Source organism: Homo sapiens, chromosome 3 (assembly GCF_000001405.40).
Source record: "Homo sapiens chromosome 3, GRCh38.p14 Primary Assembly".
NCBI classification, from domain to species: domain Eukaryota; kingdom Metazoa; phylum Chordata; class Mammalia; order Primates; family Hominidae; genus Homo; species Homo sapiens.
The window spans coordinates 129,357,580-129,372,270 of record NC_000003.12 but is presented as its reverse complement, the minus strand read 5'-3'; the positions used below and the strand labels follow the sequence as shown (position 1 = coordinate 129,372,270).

The window sequence follows — 14,691 nt, the reverse complement described above, 5'->3', positions numbered from 1 at the left end:
ACATGTTCATCACAGCACTATCACAATAGTAAAGACATGGAATCAACCTAGGTGTCCATTAATGGTGGATTGGATAAAGAAAATACGGTACCTATACACCATGGAATACCACGCAGTCATAGAAAAGAACAAAATCATGTCCTTTGCAGCAACATGGCTGCAGCTGGAGACCATTCTCCTAAGCGAATTAAAACAGGAACACAAAACCAAATACCACACGTTCTCACTTACAAATGGGAGCTAAATATTGAGTACTCATGGATATAAAGATGGCAACAATAGACGCTGAGGACTACTAGAGGGAGGAGGGAGAGAGGGGAGCAAGAGTTGAAAAACTAACTCTTGGGTACTGTGCTCAGTACCTGGGTAATGAGGTCATTCATATCCCAAAGCTCAGCATCACACAATATACCCATGTAACAAACCTGCACATGTGCGGCCTGAATCTAAAGCAAAAGTTGAAATTATTATTATTCTTATTATTCTGAGACAGGGTCTTGCTCTGTCATCCAGGCTGGAGTGCAGTGGCAGGATCACAGTTCACTAAAGCCTCAACTTCCCAGGACAGGGGCCGTCCATGGACATCTCTGCAGAGCAGCAGCCCCTTTCCAACCTGGGCAGCTTGCACAGGACTGCATGAACGTCGCCTAAAATCTTCCCCACAGGCCAGGCACAGTGGCTCACGCGTGTAATCCCAGCACTTTGGGAGGCTGAGGTGGAAGGACTGGTTAAGTCCACGAGTTCCAGTCCAGCCTGGGCAACGTAGCAAAACCCTGTCTCTACAAAAAATACAAATGATAGCTGGGCATGGTGGCACGCTGCTGTGGTCCCAGCTACTCAGGAGGCCGAGGTGAAAAGATCTCTTGAACCCAGGAGGCGGAGGTTGCAGTGAGCCGTGATTGTGCCACTGGGCGACACAAAGGAAAGAATACATCTTCCCCGCAGCCCAGCTCTGAGCATCACCAGTGACTCCGCCTGCCACTCCCCACTTGCTGTGCTGTGGCCACCCCTCCATTCCTTCCCACCGGCCAAGGCCAGTCCTGCGACCCTCCTTCAGTGTACTTTTCAGGTCCTGTGCAGCAGCTGGCCCCATATAGGTTTCCTGCCCCATGGCCTGGGGTGACCCCTGCGGCCCTTAGGAAACTGCTCGCCCACGAGGACACCCTGCCCCCATCTGAGTCAACCGAAGCTGCCCAGGGACACCAGGGTACCCTTCCCTCTACTCCAGGCAAAGCCACCAGGACCTCTGCAAGCAGCTGGGATGGGGTGGAGAAGCAGCCCCCACGTGATTCTGGGAAAACCCACACACCACACACATATGCCACACGCACACCACACAAACACAGATACACACACACCAAACACACACACACCATACACACACCACACACACACACACACCATACAAACATATACACACACCACACATACCACACACACATCACACATGCACCAAACACACATACACACACACCACACAGACATACAGACATACCACACACACCACACACACACACACCAAACACACACATACATTACACGCCATGCACCTATGCCACACATACACACACACCACATACACATACAGCGCATACATACATCACATATACATTCACCACACACTACATACACTACACACATACACGACACACCCACACACACCACACACCCACCACACACACCACACACATACACATAAAACGCACATACTATCCATACCCTCACCCACACCACACACTATGCACATATGCCACACACACAACACACACATACACACCCAAACACATCACACATCACACACCCACAGCACACACCCATACCACATACATACATATATACAAACACCACACACATAAACTGCACACCACACACAGATGCCAAACCACACACCATATGCATACACATACAATACACACCACACTCACACCAACACCCACACTCACATCACAACCACACACCACACACATACCACACACCACACACACCACCCATACCACATCCACACACACACCACACACACACATACCACATACCACACACATACATATACACCACACCACACACCACATTCAGACCACACGCTACACAACACACCCACAACATACCACACACAAACACAGCAAACACCACACACATACACCTATATCACACACCATACCACACACCCACACACCACACACCCCAGCCACTCCACATCCACACACACCCACACCACACACGTCACACACACACCTGCATGCACACACCACACACATGCACATACACAATACACACCACACCTCCACACCACACCCACACCCACACTACACACATCACACACCTACCAAACACATCACACCCACATCACACATCACAACGTACACATATACCACACACATACAACACCCATACTGCTCACACTACACACCTACCACACATACCACATCCATACAACATGCATTCACACACACCACACTCACCACACATATACACACCGTACCGCAAATACACGTACACACACCACACCTATACCACACACAAACATATCACACACATACACCACACCACACACATACACTCTACACATATGCACATGCACATCATACACATTCACCCACCACACCCTCCACACAGTACACACATACACACCATACCACACAATATACACACAGCACACTCACATATACCACACACGTACACACCACACTCATCACTTATATCAAAAACACACTACACACAGCACATCCACACCACACACATCAAAACACAATGCACACTCCCCCCCCTTATCATTTATAAGCAGTTACAGAGTTGTTTCAACTGTGAGCAAACCATGACCAGGGAAGACTGTAAGGAAATTCACCGTGTCCCCTCACTGACTTCGCCTTGGGGGGCCTCTCCAAACTCTTTCTCTTTCTGCTTCCTTAGACTTTCTAGATCAGAAACAACATCGCGTCTGTAACCAACAACAACCTGAAAAAGTGACTTTCATAAAAATCCGGGGCTAGATTCCTTTCCAGATAACGAGGTTGAGAGTGTGAACTGAGTGCCCCAGGTCAGGGTGAACGCCTGGCAGGGAAGTGCACCTGACTCCTGACAAACAGGCAGCTGAAAGGCCAAGAGAGTGGGGAAGAACGGCTGCTAGCCCCTGCTCTCCAGGCTGGGCTGCTTTCTGGAAGATGGCACAGCAGGGAGGGCGAGCAAGCCGGCCCAGTGTGGACACCTTATGTATTCCACCTCAGCCTCCAAAATAGATAGGAAGTGCATGCCACCACGCCTGGCTAATTTTTAAAATTTTTGGTAGACAAAGGGTCTCACTATGTTGCCTAGGCCAGTCTGGAACTCTTGGCCTCAAGCAATGCTGGGATTATAGGCCTGAGCCATCGTGCCTCATTTCTAAGTGTGTCCTCATTTCTAAGTTAGAAATGATAATTTCTTGGGACGATCCAATGAGATCACAGGCGTAGGAGGGTGAGTTAACAGTGGAAAGCTGTAACATGAGCCCGGAAACAAAAGTATCAGTCCCCATCTTGGGGACCCCATCAAGCCAGGACCCCGTTCCTGGTTCCCCGAGTCCTGCCTCACTGCACCGCTTCAATGACAAGCAGCTGCATTCAACTCACCTTTGGGGGGACTGCCTGTGAGTTATGCTGTTTACTCTGCACAACAAATGCGTGAGGCAAGTCTCACTCTTCCATCTGCAGCAGGGGGAATGGGAGGTCCTCAAAGAAACAGAAATTGGCTCCCCCAAGGCCACATGGCCAGGAAGGATGGTGACCAGAGCTCAGACTCCAGGCTCCCGACCTTCCCTGTGTACCCACCAGTTCCCCTGTGCCTTTGTGTGCTATTTCCAAGCTGGGCAGGAGTCCTGGGGAGGAGACATAGGGAAAGACTGATTTAAGATTTCTTTCTTCTTTTTTAGAGACAGGTCTCACTCTGTCACCCAGGCTGGAGTGCAGTAGTGTGATCAGAGCTCACTGCAGCCTTGAACTCCTGGGCTCAAGGGATCCTCTCACCTCAGCCTCTCAAGTAGCTGGGACCACAGGTGCACACCACCAGGCCCAGCTAGATTAGTCTTGAACTCCTGGCCTCAAGTGATCCTCCCTCCTCAGACTCTCAAAGTGCTGGGATTACGGGTGTGGGCCATTGCGCCCAGCCTAATTTAAGATTTCATGTGCAAAGTGCAGACCCACGAGGTCACAGGCACGGCTGTGATATCCATTATCCTGGACAGAAGCACCACATTTTTCCCCAAGTGATGTTTCCCCTTTGGAAAGCTTTGTCCACAGGGGAATAGCATTTTCATTTCCAGGATTCCAATACAATAGGGTGTGTTCTAAAAAACACAAAAATCACAGTGCTATGCATCTGTGTTGCTGAGAGAGTTCACTTGTAGACATAAACCCTGTGGCTTGTCGGATAGCTTTGTTACATTAAAATCCTGCTAGTTAGGACAAATGGGAAAATAATGTGGGGAAATTATTATGGAGTACTTTAAAAGAATCTGCATATTGGGGGATGGGGGACTGAGAGTGTCAGGACAAATAGCTAATGCTTGCAGGGCTTAATACCTAGGTGACAGATAGGTGCAGCAAACCACCATGGCACACGTTTACCTATGTAACAAACCTGCACCTTCTGTATATGTATCCTGGAACTTAAAGTAAAATTCTAAAAAGAGAAAGAAATACATTATTTTCCAATCCACAATGACACTCCAGCCAACTGCAGCCGCTGCGAAGAGTCGTCTTGCTTCAATGCTTCAGACGTTGTCTCTATCCACTCATTTTACCACGTGCAAAAGTCTGTGCTGGCACCTCACACCTATTTGGATGGCTCCTATCAAAAAACAGATGCTAACAATTGTTGGCGAGGATGTGAAGAAATTGGAACCCTATGTACTATTGGTGGAAATGAAAAACAGTGCAGCTGCTATGAAAACAGTATGGTGGTTCCTCCAAAAATTAAGCACAGAATTAACGTATGGTCCAGCAACCCCACTTCTGGGTATATACAGGAAAGAAATAAAAGTTGGGTCTCAAAAAGATCTTTGTACATCCACATGAATAGCAGCATTACTCACAACAGCTACAGTGTGGAAGCAACCCAAGTGACCATCGATGGAGGAATAAACAGAATGTGGTGCACCCATCCTTATAGTCAGCCTTAAAAAGGAAGGAAATTCAACATGGATGAACCTTGAGGGCATTACTCTAAGTGAAATAAGCCAGTCACAAAAGAATAAATACTGTGTGATTGTCCTTAGATGAGGTCCCTGGAGCGGTCAAACTCATGGAGACAGAAAGTGGAATGGGGGTTGCCAGGGGCTGGGGGAGGAGGAATGGGGAGTCAGTGTTTCATGTTTGGGAAAATGAAAAGTTCTGGAGATGGATGGTAGTGACGGTTGTATGATAATGTGAATGTACTAATACCCCTGACTGTACACTCAAAGATGGTTACGGTGGTCAATTTTATGTTATGTGCATTGCACCACAATAAAAAAGGGACTCTGTGAGCTCATCCTCCAGGGTGGAGTGTGTGCGGGCAGCCTGGGGAGGGAGCACGGCTGGAACATGAGGGAGGGCCGAGTGGAGGATGAGCTTGCAGCATCCACGCCTGCGCCCTCGCTGCCCCACCGTGGAGTGCCCCGGGGGGGTGCCCTGGGACAGGGAGGCCACATCTGAAGCCAGGCAGCACAGCTGGACCGAGCCCCCCAGTAGGGTCAGCCCTGACCAGGGGCCGGTTCAAAGTCAGCAGGGTGGGCAAGAGTCACACTCAAACCAACGCCCCAAGGAAGCAGCACGAGAACCAGCAGCAGCTTCCGGGCTCAAAGCAAGTGACTCAGCGCACCGACTGCCCTGGCTGCCTGGGCTGCGGTGCCACTTGTCATCAGAGGGATGGCTGTTGTCCCTTTGGCTGAGCCCAGGTGAGGCAGCCAGCTTACATTCAGGGGTGGGAACACATGTGGGCAGACACTGGACTCACACTCGGCAGGCTAGAGGCACACGGCCCATGAGGCCCCAAGAAACTAAACCCTCCCGTTCCCAATTCAGGCACGAAGAGAGATGGAGGCAGATGGTGTCCACTAGTCCAGTTGCACTTGCTTGCTCTGTCTCCATCTCTCTCCCTCCCTCTCCTTCTCTCCAATACAGTAAATTAGCGTAGATTAAATGTGCCTGGCCTGCAATTCCCTGTAATGTATTCCTTTCCCTGGGCCCAGCTAAACCGTTAGCCAATATTTGCTGCACAGCTGCAGAATCATTCCCCAAGGCCTCCGTGCACGCCAGCTTCCTCACGCAGGCTGTGCTGGGGCCTCCTTCCAGACCAGTGCAGCCTGTACAATTCCAGGGAGGCATCGGCTCTCACAGTCCAGCACCCCCATGCCCTCCCTGCCCTCCCATATGCCTGGGGCTGGGCTCTCCCTGCAGCACAACCCTGCCTCCATGCCCTCTAAGAGGACCACACCGAAGTCCTCTTGGATTTCTATTTGGATTGCCTATGCCAGGGGCTTTCCAAGTCCAAGTCCACAGCTCCTTCCTCCTGAGAACCTGAGTGTGAATAACCCACTGCATCCCAGGGAGGATGGGCCAGTTCTGGATGATGCTGTGTGTATTTCCTCAGTGATATGGTTTGGCTGCATCCCCCACCCAAATCTCAACTCGATTTGTATCGCCCAGAATTCCCACATGTTGTGGAAGGAACCCAGGGGGAGGTAATTTAATCATGGGGGCCAGTCCTTCCTGTGCTAGTCTCGTAATAGTGAATAAATCTCACGAGATCTGATGGGTTTATCAGGGGGTTCCGCTTTTGCTTCTTCCTCATTTTTTCTTGCTGCCATGTAAGAAGTGCCTTTCGCCTCCTGCCATGATTCTGAGTCCTCCTCAGCCATGTGGAACTGTAAGTCCAATGAAACCTCTTTTTCTTCCCAGTCTCAGGTATGTCTTTATCAGCTGCCTGAAAATGGACTAATACAGTAAATTGGCACCAATAGAGTGGGGCATTGCTGAAAAGATACCCGAAAATGTGGAAGTGACTTTGGAACTGGGTAACAGGCAGAGATTGGAACAGTTTGAAGGGCTCAGAAGAAGACAGGAAAATTTGCAGCCTGACTATGCAACAGAAAAGAAAACCCCATTTTCTGGGGAGAAATTCAAGCTGGCTGCAGAAATTAGCATAAGTAGCAAGGAGCCTAATGTTAATCCCCAAGACCATGGGGAAAATGTCTCCAGGCTATGTCAGAGACCTTCATGGAGGCCCCTCCCATCACGGGACCAGAGGCCCAGGAGGAAACTGTGGTTTTGTAGGCCATGCCCAGGGTCCCTGTGCTGTGTGCAATCTAGGGACTTGGTGCCCTGTGTCCCAGCTGCTCCAGCCATGGCTGAAAGGGGCCAATGTATAGTCGGGCTGTGGCTTCAGAGGGTGCAAGCCCAAGCCTTGGCAGCTTCCACATGGTATTGATCCTGTGGGTGCACAGAAGTCAAGAATTGAGGTTTGGGAACCTCTGCCTAGATTTCAGAAGATGTATGGAAATGCATAGATGCCCAGGCAGAAGTTTGTTGCAGGGGCAGGGCCTTCATGAAGAACCTCTGTTAGGGCAGTGCAGAAGGAAAATGTGGGATTGGAGCCCCCACACAGAGTCCCTACTGGGGCACTGCCTAGTGGAGCTGTGAGAAGATGGCCACTGACCTCCAGACCCCAGAATAGTAGATCCATCTACCACTTGCACCATGCACCTGGAAAAGCTGTAGACACTCAGTGCCAGACTATGAAAACAGCCAGGAGGGAGGCTGTACCCTGCAAAGCCACAAGGGCAGAGCTGCCCAAGACCGTGGGAACCTACGTTTTACATCAGCATGACCTTGATGTCTAAGGAGATCATTTTGGAGCTTTAAAATTTGACTGTCCTGCTCTCCCTCTCCCTCTCCCTCTCCCTCTCCCCACGGTCTCCCTCTCCCTCTCTTTCCACGGTCTCCCTCTGATGCCGAGCCGAAGCTGGACTGTACTGCTGCCATCTCGGCTCACTGCAACCTCCCTGCCTGATTCTCCTGCCTCAGCCTGCAGAGTGCCTGCGATTGCAGGCGCGCGCTGCCACGCCTGACTGGTTTTCGTATTTTTTTGGTGGAGACGGGGTTTCGCTGTGTTGGCCGGGCTGGTCTCCAGCTCCTAACCGCGAGTGATCCGCCAGCCTCGGCCTCCCGAGGTGCCGGGATTGCAGACGGAGTCTGGTTCACTCAGCGCTCAATGGTGCCCAGGCTGGAGTGCAGTGGCGTGATCTCGGCTCGCTACAACCTCCACCTCCCAGCCGCCTGCCTTGGCCCCCCAAAGTGCCGAGATTGCAGCCTCTGCCCGGCCGCCACCCCGTCTGGGAAGTAAGGAGCATCTCTGCCTGGCCGCCCATCGTCTGGGATGTGAGGAGCCCCTCTGCCTGGCTACCCAGTCTGGAAAATGAGGAGCGTCTCTGCCCGGCCGCCATCCCATATAGGAAGTGAGGAGCGCCTCTTCCCGACCGCCATCCCATCTAGGAAGTGAGGAGCGTCTCTGCCCGTCCGCCCATCGTCTGAGATGTGGGGAGCGCCTCTGCCCTGCCACCCCGTCTGGGATGTGAGGAGCGCCTCGTCTGGGAGGTGAGGAGCATCTCTGACCGGTCGCCCCGTCTGAGAAGTGAGGAGACCCTCCGCCTGGCAACCGCCCCCTCTGAGAAGTGAGGAGCCCCTCCACCCGGCAGCCGCCACGTCAGAGAAGTGAGGAGCCCCTCCGCCTGGCAGCCACCCCGTCTGGGAAGTGAGGAGCTTCTCCGCCCGGCAGCCACCCCGTCCGGGAGGGAGGTGGGAGTCAACCCCCACCAGGCCAGCTGCCCCGTCTGGGAGGGAGGTGGGGGTGTCAGACCCCGCCCGGCCAGCCGCCCTGTCCGGGAGGTGAGGGCCGCCTCTGCCCGGCCGCCCCTACTGGGAAGTGAGGAGCTCCTCTGCCCGGCCAGCCGCCCCGTCCGGGAGGGAGGTTGGGGGGTCAGCCCCCCGCCCGGCCAGCCGCCCCATCCGGGAGGGAGGTGGGGGGGTCAGCCCCCCGCCCGGCCAGCCGCCCCGTCCGGGAGGGAGGTGGGGGGGTCAGCCCCCCGCCCGGCCAGCCGCCCCGTCCGGGAGGGAGGTGGGGGGGTCAGCCCCCCGCCTGGCCAGCCGCCCCGTCCGGGAGGTGAGGGGCGCCTCTGCCCGGCCGCCCCTACTGGGAAGTGAGGAGCCCCTCTGCTCGGCCAGCCGCCCCGTCCGGGAGGGAGGTGGGGGGGTCAGCCCCCCGCCCGGCCAGCCGCCCCGTCCGGGAGGTGAGGGCCGCCTCTGCCCGGCCGCCCCTACTGGGAAGTGAGGAGCCCCTCTGCTCGGCCAGCCGCCCCGTCCGGGAGGGAGGTGGGGGGGTCAGCCCCCCGCCCGGCCAGCCGCCCCGTCCGGGAGGTGAGGGCCGCCTCTGCCCGTCCCTACTGGGAAGTGAGGAGCCCCTCTGCTCGGCCAGCCGCCCCGTCCGGGAGGGAGGTGGGGGGGTCAGCCCCCCGCCCGGCCAGCCGCCCCGTCCGGGAGGTGAGGGCCGCCTCTGCCCGGCCGCCCCTACTGGGAAGTGAGGAGCCCCTCTGCTCGGCCAGCCGCCCCGTCCGGGAGGGAGGTGGGGGGGTCAGCCCCCCGCCCGGCCAGCCGCCCTGTCCGGGAGGTGAGGGCCGCCTCTGCCCGGCCGCCCCTACTGGGAAGTGAGGAGCCCCTCTGCTCGGCCAGCCGCCCCGTCCGGGAGGGAGGTGGGGGGGTCAGCCCCCCGCCCGGCCAGCCGCCCCGTCCGGGAGGGAGGTGGGGGGGTCAGCCCCCCGCCTGGCCAGCCGCCCCGTCCGGGAGGTGAGGGGCGCCTCTGCCCGGCCGCCCCTACTGGGAAGTGAGGAGCCCCTCTGCTCGGCCAGCCGCCCCGTCCGGGAGGGAGGTGGGGGGTCAGCCCCCCACCCGGCCAGCCGCCCCGTCCGGGAGGTGAGGGGCGCCTCTGCCCGGCTGCCCTTACTGGGAAGTGAGGAGCCCCTCTGCCCGGCCGCCACCCCGTCTGGGAGGTGTGCCCAGCAGCTCATTGAGAACGGGCCATGATGACAATGGCGGTTTTGTGGAATAGAAAGGGGGGAAAGGTGGGGAAAAGATTGAGAGGTTGGATGGTTGCCGTGTCTGTGTAGAAAGAGGTAGACATGGGAGACTTCTCATTTTGTTCTGTACTAAGAAAAATTATTCTGCCTTGGGATCCTGTTGATCTGTGACCTTACCCCCAACCCTGTGCTCTCTGAAACATGTGCTGTGTCCACTCAGGGTTAAATGGATTAAGGGCGGTGCAAGATGTGCTTTGTTAAACAGATGCTTGAAGGCAGCATGCTCGTTAAAAGTCATCACCACTCCCTAATCTCAAGTACCCCGGGACACAAACACTGCGGAAGGCCGCAGGGTCCTCTGCCTAGGAAAACCAGAGACCTTTGTTCACTTGTTTATCTGCTGACCTTCCCTCCACTATTGTCCAATGACCCTGCCAAATCCCCCTCTGCGAGAAACACCCAAGAATGATCAATAAAAAAAAATAAAAAATAAAAACATTATATTATCGACTATACCTTAAATTATAATAAAAAGTTATATATGTAAAATTTGACTGTCCTGCTGGATTTTGAACTTGCATGGGCCTTGTAACCCCTTTGTTTTGGCCACTTTCTCCCATTTGGAATGGCTGTATTTACCCAATACCTGTATTCCCATTGTATCTAGGAAGTAACTAGCTTGCTTTTGAATTTACAGGCTCATAGACAGAGACTTTGGGGGACTGTTGGGAAGGCATAATTAGTTTTGAAATGTGAAGACATGAGATTTGGAGGGGCCAGGCAGGGGCAGAATGATATGGTTTGGCTGCGTCCCCACCCAAATCTCAACTTGGATTGTATCTCCCAGAACTCCCATGTGTTGTGGGAGGGACCCAGCGGGGAGGTAATTGACTCATGGGGACTGGTCATTCCCAACGCTATTCTCGTGATAGTGAACAAGTCTCACAAGATCTGATGGGTTTATCAGGGGGTTCCGCTTTTGCTTCTTCCTCATCTTCTCTTGCTGCCACGATGTAAGAAGTGCCTTTTGCCTCCTGCCATGATTCTGAGGTCTCCCCAGCCATGTGGAATTGTAAGTCCAATTAAACCTCTTTTTCATCCCAGTCTCGGGTATGTCTTTATCAGCTGTGTGAAAACAGACTAATACACTCAGGAATTCTCTTTTGCACTTTCCAAGAACACTGCAGCAGCCTGACGCCCAGCACTGGAGCTAAGCCCCTCACAAGCTTCCGAGATTACAGCCCTGCCCTCCTCCAACCTTCCCCATTACTATGCAGTGGGGACAGTATCCACACATCACTTACCTTCCTGCAGGGGGAGGCTCAGGAATCTTGGCCCAGGAATATCACAGGCCTTGAGCAGGTCACTTCACTCTTCTGAGCCTCCGAGTCCCGGTCCTCAGCAAAGGGAGTTGGGGGAAGCAGCCCATTCACAGCCCAGCCTGGTGAAAGAATAGCAATCTTGGAGGGAGACGCACCGGGTTTTGAATCCCGGTTTCATCAAATGTCACTTATGTGGCTTGGGCTGTGTGACCTGGCTGTGGTATCCCCCAGGCTGGGGGGACCCAGTGAGGTAGAATGAACACCAAGTGCCCGGCACAGGGTAAGTCCTGCCCTTATCCTTGGGTGCCCTCCCAGGGCTCCAGTTCGGCCTCTTATCTAGTCCCGCACACTCACTGCAGGAGGATGTTTCACGCAGCTGGCAGGGGTTGCACCTCCCTGGGCCCAGGGAAGGGAACCGCAATCTCCAAGCCCCCACTGCCACCTCCACTGCAGAGGCGCCAGCTGCCAGGCCACCCGCCCCTCCCCTAGGATAATTGCCTGCAGTGCTCAGGAGGAGGGGGCTGATGCGTGTCCAAGCAGCTTAACCCCAGGAGCTCCAGCAACTACTCTAGATTATCCCAATCTACACAGATAAAGCCAGGCCCCTGGAAACTGCAGGCAGACACATGCCACAGCCACTGGAGTACACTAACAGCCGGGGCTCCTCCGCTCTGAGTTTTCCTAAGAAGAAGAGTGTCTTGGGGGCCGATCTCCGTGGAGCTGAGTGGGCTTCAGGCAGCCTCAGGAGTCATGTGTGTTTCTCCCTATGCCCACCCCAATGGGGACATTCCTAGGGGAGAAGGGGAAGGAGGCAGGCCCTGAGGCCTTGTAAATAAACGCCATCCACATGGAGGGCACGGCCCGCTGAGGACTGAAAGTACCATGGCCAGTCAATGACTCCGGGAGGCCGAGTGGGAGGTGAGGAGGCTGTGACTCTATAAACACAGCAGCACAGACCCCAGATGCCTCCCTCTGGCAAGATCATCACGTACTATCACTCGAGAGAGACAAGAGTCAGGTAGAAGGTAGAGACCTTGTATGCTGTTCCCTGATGCATCCTCTGGCTAGCAGTGCCTGACACACAGTAGGTGTGCAGTAAAGGTATGTTGGATGACTGAGCGATCTCCACCCTCATGGAGCTCGCAGTCTGTGTGGACAAGACACAGGGCAGGAGAACAGTGTAAGCACAGCCTGAAGAAATGAGGATCCAGCCTCTGCTTTCACACCTGTGATGACGGGGGTCTCACCACTTCCTCGACAGCAATGAACATGAAAGGCCTTCTTGGCAGTGAGGTCTTCATCCTGTCGCTCCTGAATCCAGGACTTCTAATAGCGTGCCCATGAAATTTACTGAATTAGGAAGGGAGGGAGGAAATATCCCTGCCTGGGGCCTCTGTTTTCTGGGCCCCCACCACCCCCCTCTGCCCCCTGCCCCAGGTCAGCCTTACAAACAAAGACCCCAACTCAGGGTCTGGGCTCTTCAGGCATCCACCCCCGAGTCCTGTTTTGGGAGCAGCGTCTTCAGCCACCTCCCTGGACGCCCCTCCCCCAGTAGGAGCCCACAGAGCCGGCAGGCGAGTCACCATCCTTGCCTCTCCATGGCGCTAAAAAAAGGTCTGATCCCCTCACAGCCCATCTCTGAAGGCCAGGCCAGGACCCACGAACTGGCACCACTCCAGCCCTTCTCAGCCACCACACTGAGCCCAAATCCAGGTGCCCAGCCTCCGGGCCTTTGCCCTGGAACTTCCGTCTTCCTGGAAGGCCCTCTCTCCCTGCCCCCATCCTGGCAGATGAAATCCCTAAAAGCCCACAGCAAATGCCGCACCCTCCAAGCAGCCCTCGCCCACCCTCGCAGGCACAGTCCCTCCACGCTGGTTTCGTGTCCCCAGAACCCTTCTCTCCATGGCCAGAGGACCTGAGACCCCCACGGCCCTGTGTTTTTGAGCCCCTGTGGGCGCGTGTCAGTGCCCAGCCTCTGTGAGAGGCCCTAGTGGTGGCTCAGCAGCTCTGGAGTCAGGCAGTCCAGAGTCTGAATGCCGCCTCTGCCCCATGTGCGCTGTGCCTCTGAGGGGCAGGTTTCTTAACCTCTCTGAGCCTCAGTTTTCTCACCTGTAAAGTGGAGCTAATCGTACCTTCCCACCAAGGTTGTTGTGAAGATTAGATGAGATAAAAGAGGTCTCATTCCTGGAGCAGAGCCTGGCACAAAGGCGGCTCTGATAAGCTGCAGCTATTGACAAGCATCTCAATAATGATAATCGTATCATCCCATTTGCATCTGGTGGGTTTTAATGAGTGCCAGTGGCTCACGCAGCTTAGGAGAAACTCGGGCACACCTGTGTCTGGGGTGAAAAGGCCAGCCAGAGAGACAAGCCAGGGCCGTGTTCTAGAGGGATCTTGGCAGCTGGCCATGCGTGCGGGAAGCAGAGGCAACGAGCAGCCCTGTCTGTCAGGCCTGAGCTCAGATTCAGGACGCAGGAATTATTCAAACACCCCTGTCCTAGCAGCCCCACACCAGAACTCTGCCCCTGGCCTGAGGCTCGGCATGGGTCAGCTGTGGCCGTGGAGCCTCTTGGCCGTAGGGACTCCAGGGTGGTGGCTCCCAGCTGCCTTCCATCTCCTAGGGCCCTGGGCTTCCAACAGATCCCACAAGCTGAGGGGGCCCCATAGCCCTGGTCTAAGCCAGCCCTCTGGGTGCCATGGCCCACTAGTGTAGACGGTGCTGGTGAGGGGAGGGAGACTGGGGAGCTCTGGGAAGATGGTCAGGCCAAAGCCCAGGGCAATCGATACGAAGAAGACCTTAAAATAGCACAGGCAGTGAGCCCATCTGACAGGCTGCCCTACTTCATCTCCCACTGACCCCGTAGACCCTCTGCAGCCTCTGTCCTACCACTCCCACCTACACCGGCCTCACCTCCACCTCCCTGAACGCTGCCCTGTCCCCTCCCTGCCCTGGGCCTGTGCCCCTGCTATTCCCTCTGCCTGGAGAGCCCTTCCTCAGCCCCGTATCTCAGAGCCTTCCGAGGTCAGCACTGAAGAGTCTCCTCGGCTGTGAGGCCATCACCCTCCAGGTAAGGCCCCACCCTTGCCTCTCTGTTCTCAGCCTCCTTCCACTGGGAAAGGTGGTGTCATCCCAGCTCAGAGCTGGACCACCTGCAGCTCTCCCGCTCACCTGTGTGCAGGCTGGGGCCTCGCTCACACTGGAGGCTTCTGCGCACAGGCCTGGAGTGGAGCAGGAAGTCAGGAAATGTTTGTAGCAGGCAGGAAAGAGGGGAGAAGGAAACTCACTCCCAC

General features: G+C 55.1%; 3 annotated features.

Annotated features, from left to right (window-relative positions):
• Positions 5,184 to 5,713: an enhancer, noted in NCBI's record as "H3K4me1 hESC enhancer chr3:129085401-129085930 (GRCh37/hg19 assembly coordinates)". NCBI's record gives its function as "activates a minimal SCP1, AML or CMV promoter by ChIP-STARR-seq in naive H9 embryonic stem cells {active_cell/tissue: H9 hESC(naive)}" and the evidence as "EXISTENCE:reporter gene assay evidence [ECO:0000049][PMID:30033119]".
• Positions 5,714 to 6,245: an enhancer, noted in NCBI's record as "H3K4me1 hESC enhancer chr3:129084869-129085400 (GRCh37/hg19 assembly coordinates)". NCBI's record gives its function as "activates a minimal SCP1, AML or CMV promoter by ChIP-STARR-seq in naive H9 embryonic stem cells {active_cell/tissue: H9 hESC(naive)}" and the evidence as "EXISTENCE:reporter gene assay evidence [ECO:0000049][PMID:30033119]".
• Positions 13,580 to 14,464: an enhancer, noted in NCBI's record as "H3K4me1 hESC enhancer chr3:129076650-129077534 (GRCh37/hg19 assembly coordinates)". NCBI's record gives its function as "activates a minimal SCP1, AML or CMV promoter by ChIP-STARR-seq in naive H9 embryonic stem cells {active_cell/tissue: H9 hESC(naive)}" and the evidence as "EXISTENCE:reporter gene assay evidence [ECO:0000049][PMID:30033119]".